General features: G+C 39.4%; 1 protein-coding gene across 6 annotated transcripts in view; it reads right to left on the bottom strand.

Moving 5' to 3' along the window:
- MOB1B (MOB kinase activator 1B) overlaps positions 1-13,079 on the bottom strand; it is an 86,318-nt gene that overhangs the window by 15,148 nt on the left and 58,091 nt on the right. For all 6 annotated transcript variants that reach the window (XM_011532412.3, XM_005265709.3, NM_001244766.2 and 3 more), the window contains one exon: positions 2,997-3,090. In XM_011532412.3, the coding sequence (XP_011530714.1) occupies positions 2,997-3,090 (94 nt within the window). The remainder of the gene's footprint in view (positions 1-2,996; positions 3,091-13,079) is intronic.

Raw genomic sequence — 13,079 nt, 5'->3', positions numbered from 1 at the left:
CGGGCGGATCATGAGGTCAGGAGATCAAGACAATCCTGGCTAACACAGTGAAACCCCGTCTCTACTAAAAATACAAAAAATTAGCCGGGTGTGGTGGCAGGCACCTGTAGTCCCAGCTACTCGGGGGGCTGAGGCAGGAGAATGGTGTGAACCCAGGAGGCGGAGCTTGCAGTGAGCCGAGATCGCGCCACTGCACTCCGGCCTGGGTGAAAGAGCGAGACTCCGTCTCAAAAATAAAATAAAATAAAATAAAATAAAATAATTGTGTATTGCTTAGACCTTTAGAGTTTACAACTAAGACTCCCTAATCTCTTTTCTTTCATCGTGTTTATACTTAGAATGACTTCCTTCATTCTGTAGCTCTATTTTGCCGCGATGCCTTTCTCATTCTACCTTTGACAGACTATTCTCTTTGAAATGTATTTCTGTCATCACAGCATGAACTTGTAAACTGCAAACTCCAATTCACAATTTCTTTTTTAATAATAATAAAAATCAGTAACTGAGGGCCAGGTGCAGTGGCTCACCCCTATAATCCCAGCACTTTGGGAGGCCAAGGAGGGCAGATCACTTGAGGTCAGGAGTTTGAGACCAGTCTGGCCAACATGATGAAACCCCGTCTATACTAAAAATACAAAAATAGCCGGGTATGGTGGCATGCACCTGTAATCCCAGCTACTCAAGAGGTTGAGGCAGGGAAGATCTCTTGAACCTAGGATGCAGAGGTTGCAGTAAGCCAAGATCGCACCACTGCACTCTAGCCTGGGCAACAGAGCAAGATTCTGTCTCAAAAAAATAAAATAAAAATAAAAAAACAGTATCTGAGAACAAAGTTCTACGAGCCATCATTCAATACCACTTTGCAAGGGGCTTAGCATTTATTAAGTATTAACAAATGCCTCTCCTAGGCACAATCCTGCATCTGCTGGTAAAAATGAAGAACTATGACAACAACTACATCTTCTTAGCACTAATGACTGGGAAATGTCACGATTCTCCCCAAAAAAAAAAAGGGAGAAAGGAAGAGAGGGAGGAAAGACAAGAAGAGAAGGAAGAAGAAAAGAGACGTAGAGAAAGAAGAAAGAAGGAGGGAGAAAGGAAGGGAAAGAAGGAAGAAAGAAGAGAAAGAGAGGGAAGCAGACACGCAGGCAGGAGACCACACAGCTTTAACACTATGTACGCACACATGCATGCATACAGGAGCAGAGACAAACAGCTCTCAAGCCAGAAGAACTGGCTTTCTTAGAAGGCAGTGCTATTTAATTTCTCAAGGCATAACTAACCACAGAATAGAAAAATTAAAGACATCTATTTTCACAAGTGAAGCTTAACCAAAGTGAACACCAGTAATACTGGCAAGAATTAATACTAAAGGGGGACTGATTTCATTTCTAAATGCCCCCGTTCCTCTAATAAATCTTCCCGAAATAACAAGTAACAGAAATTCACACTCTAGCTTTGATGATAAAACTAGGAGACACCTATGTCTTTAAATTACTTTTTTTTTTTTTTTTTTGAGACAGAGTCTCACTCTATCATTCAGGCTGGAGTACACACACTGGCACGATCTCAGCTCACTGCAACCTCACCCCCACCTCCCAGGTTTAAGTGATTCTCCTGCCTGAGTGGCTGGGATTACAGATGCACACCACCACGCCCAGCTAATTTTTCTATTATTAATAGAGACGAGATTCACTATGTTGCCCAGGCTGCTCTCAACCTCCCGATCTCAGGTGATGATCTGCCAGTCTCAGCCTCCCAAAGTGCTGGGATTATAGGCGTGAGCCACCATGCCCAGCCTAAACCACATTATTTTTTAAAGGGACTATCTTGACTAGACTTTTCAAAAAGGCGAGGTGGGGAGTGTGACAGTTCATATAAGTTCAAACAGGGTGAGGAGAGAACAAAAGATGCACCTGCAACTACAAACCCCATACAAAGTCCACAGAAGACGTTTCTCCAAAGTAAACAGTCCCGTGACGGGTAAAAACCACAAACATACTTCTGCAGGAAGAGGTGTAAATGGAGGAAGGGAATTGACAGACGCTAGATTTTGAATAGCTCTGCAGCTATACTCATCTCCATGGGCTAGAAAGAAGTGAAGGTTCAAACACAGCTTTGTGTCTTTCCTAGTGCAGTCTTCCTTTCTCTTTACTGAGAACTGCCAACTTCTTTTACCTCTTCATATGGTATCTCCATATTTTTCCTGAGCTACAATATTATACTTCTGTTACGGGCTCTTTGATCATTTGACTAAATTCTTTGAGTCTACGGCAATGCATAGAGCAATATTCTTATAATGAATGTTGACATATGATGTAAAAAACATGTATGAAAGGCCTTACATTTAGGTACCACTAAATAAATGGTAACTGTCATTGCTATTATTAGTAGAAGTAATAATAAAAGCCAGTTTCCAAAATGTACTGATTCAACCCACATTTTTTGGGTGTTAAAACAAGGTGGCAAGCTCTGTCCTTGCACCAAAAGGGAATTAAAAGAACAAATCCAACAGGTTAAATAAAACATATATGAATAGTGTAAGAAATATAACAAACAAATTTCATTACAAAGGTAAAAAAAGTTAGTCTGATGAAATCAGAAGGCTTTGACAGAGAAATATTTGATAATAGAATTGAAGATCAGTAAGATTTTTTGAAATATTGACAGAAAATGACAGGAGTGAAATGGGAGAGAAGAAAAATGTCCAAGAGAAGAAGAGAATAAGCAAGCTTCCAGAGAAGTACGTAATGGAGGGAACAGCAAGGTATTTCCAGTAATCCAGTTAGGACAGACTAGAGAAGACACATAAGCAAACAGAGGAAAGGCAAGATGGACAGTCACAAACCCCAAGCTAAGGAATCTAGATTAATAGTCACTGGCAAACCTCAGAAAGAGACGATAAGTAGAAAAATCATATGGTCAGAAACTTCGTTTTTCTTTAAGAACCGTAAAATAATGTAAAAATAAGAAACTGATCATTAACTATGTCTTACTTTGGGCCAGCTGACATCACTGGACAACTCTCTTCTGTACAGAAGTCTGTGATAGTTCCATAAAGCATGTTGATCTGATTGAAGAAATCCACAGCTGTAAAGCAAGTATCAGTTGTAAGTAAAACAGAATGGCTAAATTTAAAATGAAATTTTAATTGTACTTGAACAGAATAGGCTTATTGGCGTTCGTTCCCCTACAAAGAACAGGTGAAAACCATACACAGAAGTATCAATACATTGAAATGAGGAGCTTGTGTTCATCAAACGACTCCCTTGAGAGCAAAAAGGCAAGCATAGAGATGAAGAGATTATTTGCAACGCATACAAACAACAGAAATCTTATATCTAGAATAGATAAAGAACTCATATAGATCAATAAGAAAAAGACAACACAGCTGAAAAATGTGAGACAATTTTAAACTGTCACTTCACAAAAGAAATTTCCAGGTGGTCAAATGTCCTATGAAGAGATGTTGGTAATCATGGAACTACAAATTGAAATGATAGTGAGATGCCATTCCATAGGCCCTAAAAAGGCTAAGATTTATCTGAAAATGCAACAAGGCAAGAATCCAACACATTCTTAAAGAACCAGGCTGGGCACGATGCATCACACCTGTAATCCCAACACATTCACAGGCCAAGGCTGGAGAATCGCTTGAGCCCAGGAATTCAAGACCAACCTGGGAAATACACTGAGACCTCGTCTCTGCCAATAAAAATAAAATTAGCTGGGCATGGTGGTGCATGCCTGTGGTTCCAGCTACACAGGAGGGTGAGGTGGGAGGATTCCTTGAGCCGAGGAAGTCAGGCTGCAGTGAGCCATGATCACATTACTGCACTTCAGCCTGCGTGACGGAATATGTCTCAAAACAAAAACTAAGGTAAGTATTAAGATTTATAAAGCACAACGAATAAAACAGTATGATTTTAGTACACCAATGGAACAGAAGAGAGACCTAGGCAGTTACAGAAACAGATGCAAACACAGATGAAACATTTGATTTATGACATAGCCATCACTGCAGAATAAGCAAAGGACAATCTTTTCATAAATATTTCTGAATCAACTGGTTATTGCTATGGGAAAAAATAAAACCTGGCCAGGCACAGTTGGCTCACACCTGTAATCCCAGCATTTTGGGAGGCTGAGGCAAGAGAATGGCTTGAGGCCAGGAGTTCAAGACCAGCCTGGGGAACATAGCAAGACCCCATCTCTGCAAAAAATATTTTAAAAATTAGCCAAGTATGGTGGTGCTCTCCTGCAGTCCAAGCCACACCATTCAGAAGGCTGAGACAGGAGAACTGCTTGACCCCAGGAGTTCGAGGCTATAATGAGCTATGATTTCACCACTGCACTCCAGCCTGAGCCAAAGAACGAGACCTTGTCTCAAAAAAGAATAAAGTAAAATGAGGCTGGGCGCGGTGGCTCACGCCTGTAATCTCAGCACTTTGGGAGACTGAGGCAGGTGATCACCTGAGGTCAGGAGTTCAAGACTAGCCATGATCAACATAGAGAAACCTTGTCTCTACTAAAAATACAAAATTAGCCGGGTGTGGTGGCGCATGCCTGTAATCCCAGCTACTCAGGAGGCTGGGGCAGGAGAATTGCTTGAACCTGGGAGGCGGAGGTTGCAGTGACCCGAGATCGTGCCATCACACTCCAGCCTAGGCAACAAGAGCAAAACTCCGTCTCAAAAAAATAAAGTAAAATGAAATCAAATAAAATTTGACTCTTCACTCATGTCATACCCAAAAAGCAATTCAAAGTAGACTGTACCTCTAAATGTGAAAGGCAAGACAATTAAGTTTAAAAGAACATAGAAAAATATATTTGTGACTTTTGACATGTATAAATTTCTTAAAAAGAGCATAGGCCGGGCAAGATGGCTCACGCCTGTAACCCCAGCACTTGGGGATACCAAGGCCTGGGGAGGATCACTTGAGCCCCAGAGTTTGGGACCACCTTGGGCAACACAGTAAAATCCCATCACTACAAAAAATTAAATAATAAATAAATTAGCTGGGCATGGTGGTCATGCCTGTAATCCCAGCACTCTGGAACACTCTAGGAGGCTGAGGTGGGAGGATCGCTTGAGCCAGGAAAGTTCAAAGCTGCAGTGAGCCATGATATCATGCCACTGCACTCCAACCTGGATGACAGGGCAAAACCTCCTCAAAAAAATAAAAATTTAATTTTAAAAAAAGAGAACAAAATGGACTAATCATAAAGGAATAGTTTCCAGGTTTCATTAGATTTGTTCCTAGGTTGATATTTTTGATGCTAATATTTTTTTTCCTTTTTTTTGTTGTTCATTTTTCTTTTTTTGGCCTCTATTTCCTGGTGATGAGATATTCATAATTTTATATTAACCCAAGAGCTGACAACCTCATTAAACTCATCTATTAGTAATAATAATTATGGTCTTTTAGATTTTCAACATATTTTCTTTTCCAAAAAGGGATTTTCAGAACAATCAACATATTTTTTATTGGCTATAAATGAAAAGAATAATTCTTTCTTCCTTTCCAGTCAGTATATTTTTTATTCTTTTTCTTGCCTTACTGAATTGGTTAAGACTTCAGTAATTGGCTGGGTGCGGTGGCTCACGCCTGTAATCCCAGTACTTTGGGAGGCTGAGGTGGGTGGACCATCTGAGGTCAGAAGTTGGAGACCAGCCTGAACAATATGGTGAAACCCTATGTCTACTGAAATACCAAAAATTAGCCGGACATGGCAGCATGCGCCCGTAGTCCCAGCTACTCAGGGGGCTGAGACAGGGGAACTGCTTGAACCCAGGAGGCGGAGGTTGCAGTGAGCTGAGATCACGCCACTGCACTCCAGCCTGGGTGACAGAGCGAGACTCCGTCTCAAAAAAAAAAAAAAAAGACTCCAGTAACATATTGGTGGTGGATATCCTTGACTCTTTCCTAAATTAAGAAAAAATTTCAACATTTACTATTATAATGTTATAGCTATTCTGCAAATAGGTATGCTTTATCAGAAGAAAGTTCTCATCTATTACTTGATAACCCTTTTATTATGGATTTTGAATTTTAGCAAATGGTTTTTCTGCATGTATTGTTGTGATACGATTTTTTTTCTCCTTGATTTTGGCTAATGCAGTGAATTACAATGACCAATTTATATTTTTTTTCTAATTTATTTTTTTTTTTGAAGTAGGATCTCACTCTATTGCCCAGGCTTGGGATGCAGTCAGAGCTCACTGCAGCCTCCAACTCCTGGGTTCAAACAATCCTCCCACCTCAATCTCCTTGAGTAATTAGGACTATAGGCATGCAACACCACACCTGGTTAACTTTTTAAATTTTTTATAAATAGTGGGACTCGGCCAGGCACAGTGGCTCATGCCTGTAATCCCAGCACTTTGGGAGGCTGACGCAGGTGGATCACCTGAGGTCAGGAGTTCGAGACCAGCCTGACCAACATGGAGAAACCCCGTCTCTACTAAAAATACAAAATTAGCCGGGCACAGTGGCGCATGCCTGTAATCCCAGCTACTCGGGAGGCTGAGGCAAGAGAACCGCTTGAACCTGGGAGGCAAAGGTTGTGGTGAGCTGAGATCATGCCATTGCACTCCAGCCTGGGCAACAAGAGCAAAACTCCGCCTCAAAAAAAAAAAAAAAAAGTGGGACTCACTATATTGCCTAGGCTGATCTGAACCCCCTGGCCTCAAGCAATCCTTCCACCTTGGCCTCCCAAAGCACTGGGATTACAGGTGTGAGCCACAACCTGAGGCCCCTCAGATGCTAAACTAACCTTTGTATTTCTGGAATAAACTCAACTTAGTCATAATGTATTATATACACTTTTAAAATGTTACTAGATTCAATTCACTAATACTTTTATTAGAATTTTTACATCTATGTTCATTTCAAAAGTTAGATGACCTAGTTCCCTTTCTTCTAATGTTCATGTAGAACTCATAAAACTAATATTTTTTCCATTCTTTGTAAGAGCCAAAGGCTGGCGTTATTTCTTCCTTGTTTCATGGAAATACTACTGTGGCAAGGTTTTTAAATAGATTACAGTTTTTTTTAAGTTATAAGATTATTCAGATTTTTTATTCTAGTGTTAACTTTGATAAGTTGAATTTTTATAAGAATTAGGTTATTTCAATTAAATTTTCAAATTTATTGGGATAAATTTATAACTTCTTCACAACATTCTCTTACAACTTTTTTTTTTTTTTTTTTTTTTTTTTTTGAGACGGAGTCTCGCTCTGTCGCCCAGGCTGGAGTGCAGTGGCGTGATCTCGGCTCGCTGCAAACTCTGCCTCCCGGGCTCACGCCATTCTCCTGCCTCAGCCTCCCAAGTAGCTGGGACTGCAGGCGCCCGCCACCACGCCCAGAGAATTTTTTGTATTTTTAGTGGAGACAGGGTTCCGCCGTGTTAGCCAGGATGCTCTCGATCTCCTGACCTCGTGATCCACCCGCCTCAGCCTCCGAAAGTGCTGGGATTACAGGCGTGAGCCACCGCGCCCGGCCTCTCTTACAACTTTTAATGCTATGTAAGATCTGGTATGTATTTACTTTTTTATCCCTGATATTGGTTATTTGTGCTTTCTAATATTATTAAATAATTAATATTTTAAATTAATATTATTTTTAAAATATTAAAATATTTTTTTCTTGATCAATCTTACCAGGAGTTATAAATTTTTAAACTTTGCAAAGAACCACTTTTTTTTTTTTTTTTTTTTTTTTGAGATGAAGTCTTGCTCTGTCATCCAGGCTGGAGTGCAGTGCTGCAATCTTGGCTCACGGCAACCTCTGCCTCCCAGGTTCAAGTGATTCTCCTGCTTCAGCCTCCCAAGCAGGTAGGATTACAAGCACCTGCCACCACACAAGGCTAATTTTTGTATTTTTAATACAGACGGGGTTCCACCATGTTGGCCAGGCTGGTCTTGAACTCCTGACCTCAAGTATCCACCTACCTCGGCCTCCCAAAGTGTTGGGATTATAGGTGTGAGCTACCACGCCGAGCCCAATTCCCTTTATTGTATGTTTCTTTTCTATTTTATTAACTTCTGTTCTTTACTGATAACCTCTTTTAACTTTTTTTTTTTTTTTGAGACGGAGTTTCACTCTTGTTGCCTAGGCTGGAGTGCAATGGTGCAATCTCAGCTCACTACAAGCTCTGCTTCCTGGGTTCAAGCAATTTTCCTGCCTCAGCCTCCCACGTAGCTGGGATACAGGCATGCCCCAACCACGCCCAGCTAATTTTTGTATTTTTAGTAGAGATGGGGTTTCGCCATGTTGGCCAGGCTGGTCCCGAACTTCTGACCTCAGGTGATCCACCCACCTTGGCCTCCCAAAGTGCTGGGATTACAGGCATGAACCACCGCACCCGGCCTCACCTCTTTTAACTTTCTTTGCATTTAATTTGCTGTTGTTTTTCCAACCTCTGGAGATGGATGCTTAGTTCATTAACTTTTAATATTTTTCCTTTTATAATATATGTATTTATGTAAGGCTCTAAATTTCCTCTAACACAGCTTTAGCTATAATATATCCCACAAGTTTCCATATATAGTATTTTCATCACCAAATTTCAGTTCAAAATATTTTCTGATTTCCATTGAGATTTACTTTTTCCAAACATATACAGATTTCTGTTTATTACTGCTTTCTAGCCAGATTCCACCATGGTCAGAGAATGTATTGGTTTCCATTTTTGAAAATGTACATATATATACTCTTAGGTGCTTAGGTCATGTGCTCCTAGGTCAAGTCTGTTAATCATGTTGCTCAAATTTTTCTAATTCCTTACCAATTTTTTCTTCTGCACTTTCTATCTGTTACTGAAAGAGGAATGTTAAAATCTCCCATTATGACCATGGATTTGTCTACTTCTCCTTTTAGTTCAGTCGACTAATATTAATAAACTTTTGAGATGTTATTAGAAACATGCATTCAGAATTTTATATACTATTTGGGAATTGAACCAGTTATCATTTTAAAATATCCTTTTTTATTGCTTTTTGCCTTAAAAGTCTACTTTATCTGACATAACACGACTATCGGGATTCTTTGGATTAGTGTTTAACTTTAGTTTCAACCATTCTATATCTGTATATTTAAAGTATGTCTTGCAGCATTCAGATTTGTTTTGCTTTGTAATCATCTTGACACATTGGTGTGTTTGTTTGGGGTTTTTTTTGTTTTGTTTTTTTCTTCTTTTGTGATGGAGTCTCACTCTGTCACCCAGGCTAGAGAGCAGTGGTGCAATCACAACTCACTGCAGCATCCACCTTCTGGGCTCAAGCGATCTTCCCACCTCAGCCTCTCAAGTAGCTGGGACCACAGGTGTGTGTCACCATGCCTGGCTAACTTTTTTATTTTTGGTAGAGATGGAGATTTGCCATGTTGTCCACGATGGTCTCAAACTCCTGGGCTCAAGCGATCCTCCCACCATGGCCTCCCAAAGTGCAAAGATTACAGGCATGAGCCACCATGCCCGGACAATCAACTTTTGTGTTGGACCATTTTGTCCTTTACATTTAATACAATTACTATTGATAATATTTGGATTTCAACTTACTATTAATATCCTACTATTTGCTATCTATTTATCCTACTCATTGTATGATTCTTCTTCTCTCCTTACGTTTTTATTAATTCTATTTTATTTCATTTTTTTAGAGACAGGGTCTCACTCTGTCGCTCAGGCTGGATTGCAGTGGTAGGATCATGGTACACTGCAGCCTTGAACTCCTGGGCTCAAGTATTCCTCCCACCTCAGCCTCCCAAGTAGCTATGGCTACATGTACGTACATCTCCGGCTAACTTATTCTTTTCTTAGAGACAGGGTCTTGCTATGTTGCCTAGATAGCCCTTATTGCTGAATTTAAGAGCTCTATGTATATTTTGGATACAGGTCCTTTACCATATATGTGGTCTGCAAAGATTTTCTGCTAGCCAGTGGCTTCATTTTTTATTTTCTTTACAATGTCTTTCACAGAGCAGAATTTTAAATTTTCTTTCTCTTTTTTTGTTGGAGACAGAGTCTCGCTCTGTCACCCAGGCTGGAATGCAGTGCCACGATCTTGTCTCACTGCAACTTCCACTTCCCAGGCTCCAGCAATTCTCATGCCTCAGCCTGCCAAGTAGCTGGGACTACAGGGATACACCACCATGCCTGGCTAATTTTTTATTTGTATTTTTAGTAGAGATGGGGTTTCATCATGTTGGCCAGGATGGTCTTGAACTCCTGAGCTCAAGTGATCCACCCACCGTGGCCTCCCAAAATGCTGGGATTACAGACGTGAGCCACCGTGCCCGGCCTCTTAAATTTTCATGAGGTCTAATTTATTAATTTTTTCTTTTAAAAGCACACTTTTGGTTTTGTATGTAGAAACTCATCACCAAATCCAAGGTTGCACAGATTTTTCTCCTGTTTTTTTTTTCCTAGAAGTTTTATAGTATTGTGTTGTATTTTTAGGTCTATCATTCAATTCATGCTAATTTTTCTGAAAGGTGTAAATCTGTGTCTAGATTTATATTTCTGCATCTGGATGTCCCAGTGTTTCACCACTATTTGTTGAAAAAATAATACTTTCTCCACTGAATTGCCTTTTCTTCTTTGTCAAGATCAGCTGCCTATTTATATGGACCACTGGTCTCTTTCATAAATTCAAATAGATTTTTCTGTGTTCCATTTTGAACATATTCACTTTGAGATCAATTTAGACATCAAAATAGTGTTATCAGGTAGAGTTTTGACTAATTCGTGAAGCCTGGGGAGAGATCTCAACTACAGTGATGAATGCAAGAGTCCTTGGTAGGTAAATTTTTATTTTATTTGTTTAGAGAAGAGGTCTCCCTATGCTGCCCAGGCTAACCTCGAACTCCTGGGCTCGAGCCATCCTCCCACCTCAGCCTCTGGAGTAGCTAGGACTACAGGTGTGAACCACCACTCCCAGCTAATTTATTTTATTTTATATTTTTGTAGATACAGATTTTGCCCAGGCTAGTCACAAACTCCTGGCCTCAAACAATCCTCCCACCTCAGCCTCCCAAAATGCTGGGATTATAGCGTGAGCCAATGCACCTAGTCTCTCCTTATATTCTTCAGGATTATTTTTTATTATTCTATTTTTCTCCTGTATTAGCTAAGTAATTACACTTTCACCTATTATTTGGATATAGATCTTATCAATAATTCCCTTTACTCCTCTATGAACCTGAAATGTTTACTGAATCACTGCCAGTGACTGGAAGTATCTGTCCTGACTCCAACCCTATTCACCTACTTCATCAAGTGTCATTTGGGAAGATTGCTATAAATAAGGAAAATTTTAAATCCAACACTTCAGTTAAATGTTGTATTTTCAAAGCAGAGTATGCCCTAAGCAGATGTTCTAATGCTTCAGTCCAAAGCAATCTTTGTCCAGCTGTAGTAAAATCATAGAACTACTGTGAAATTTTAAGAGTTCTCAAAGTTCTAGGCGTTTCAGTAGTACAGTAGTCCTCCTTTATCTGTGGTTTCACTATCCATGGTTTCAGTTATCTGTGATGAACCATGGGCTGAAAATATTAAATGGAAAATTTCAGAAATAAACAATATATAAGTTTTAAATTGTGTGCCATTCTGAGTAACGTGATGAAATTTTACAGCATCTCACACCATCTCACTCCGTCCGCTTGGGATGTGAATCATCCCTCTGTCTAGCTGTATACCTGCTCATTAATCACCTATAGTAGCCACCTTGGTTATCAGAGTGAAGGATTACAAAAAGGGTTAAGTAAAGCACAATAAGATTATTTTGAAAGAGAGAGACTATATTCACATAACTTTTACTACAGTATAACTGTAATTGTTCTATTTTATTAACAGTTGTTAATCCCTTGCTGTGCTTAATTTTAAATTAATCTTTAATAAATTTTAAATTAAGCTTTATGAATTAAGCTTTATCATAGGTACGTAGTGTATAGGAAAAAACACAGTGTACAGAAGGTTCAGTACTATCACCGGTTTCAGGAATCCACTGGTCATCTTGGAATGTATCCCTAGCAGATAAGAGAGGTACAGACACTCAGTTGTGGCAACTGAGAAAGAGACAGAATACAGACAGAAAATTATTTGCTTTTATATTTAAAAGTCAGACTCTACTGTAATATAGAAGCTCTATACAGCCTTCCTTACATTTTAAACATGAGTAAATGAACTCTCAAATTTTACAAAAAGGCACAAATTAGTACAAAAAGAACGTACACATATATTGGAGATTCATTCTGAATATTGTCTTGGAGATGACACAGAAACATCTTAGAAATACGGCAGGCCTCATCAATAAAGCAAACAAATCACTTTATTTCAAATAACTAGACTCTCTTGGTCCAGGAGGATAATCACATAATAATAACATGGCTCTTGTGTAAATGCTGTCATGGTAAGTTTTAAGACATCACAATAAAATCCCCTGGTTCCTAAAAGGTATTAGAGGGGGGCAGCTCAATTTATAAATCCCATGACATAGTTCAAATTATAATAAGAGGCCATTAAATATAAGAAAAATACTGTTTTGCATTTCCTTAAAGCCTAGACATTTTGTGTATGCTTTCAATGAAATTTCATTTTATTTTTACTAAATTCAAATAAATTTCCTTTAATTATAAAATTCTATTATTACTATTTTTTTCACTAATGTTGAAAAACGCTGAAGCTTTTATTCCTCAACTTTCTCTGGCTTAATTCCCAAGAATATAATTACTATTCATACGTTATTCTCTGTAGGAGTTAAGAACATCTCATAAATATATTTTACTAATTTCATAAGATGACTACTTGATATCTTTTTTTAAAAAATAAGCACAACTGGCCGGGCGTGGTAGCTCACACCTGTAATCCCAGCCCTTTGGGAAGCTGAAGTGGGTGGATCACAAGGTCAGGAGTTCGAGACCAGCCTGACCAACATGGTGAAATCCCATCTCTACTAAAAATACAAAAATTAGCCGGACATGGTGGTGCGTGCCTATAATCCCAGCTACTCAGGAGGCTGAGGCAGAAGAATCGCTTGAACCCAGGAGGCAGAGGTTGGAGTGAGCCGAGATCATGTC

Source organism: Homo sapiens, chromosome 4, assembly GCF_000001405.40.
Source record: "Homo sapiens chromosome 4, GRCh38.p14 Primary Assembly".
NCBI lineage: Eukaryota > Metazoa > Chordata > Mammalia > Primates > Hominidae > Homo > Homo sapiens.
Note: the sequence above shows the minus strand (reverse complement) of the source record. Positions and strands in the feature narration are given on the sequence as shown.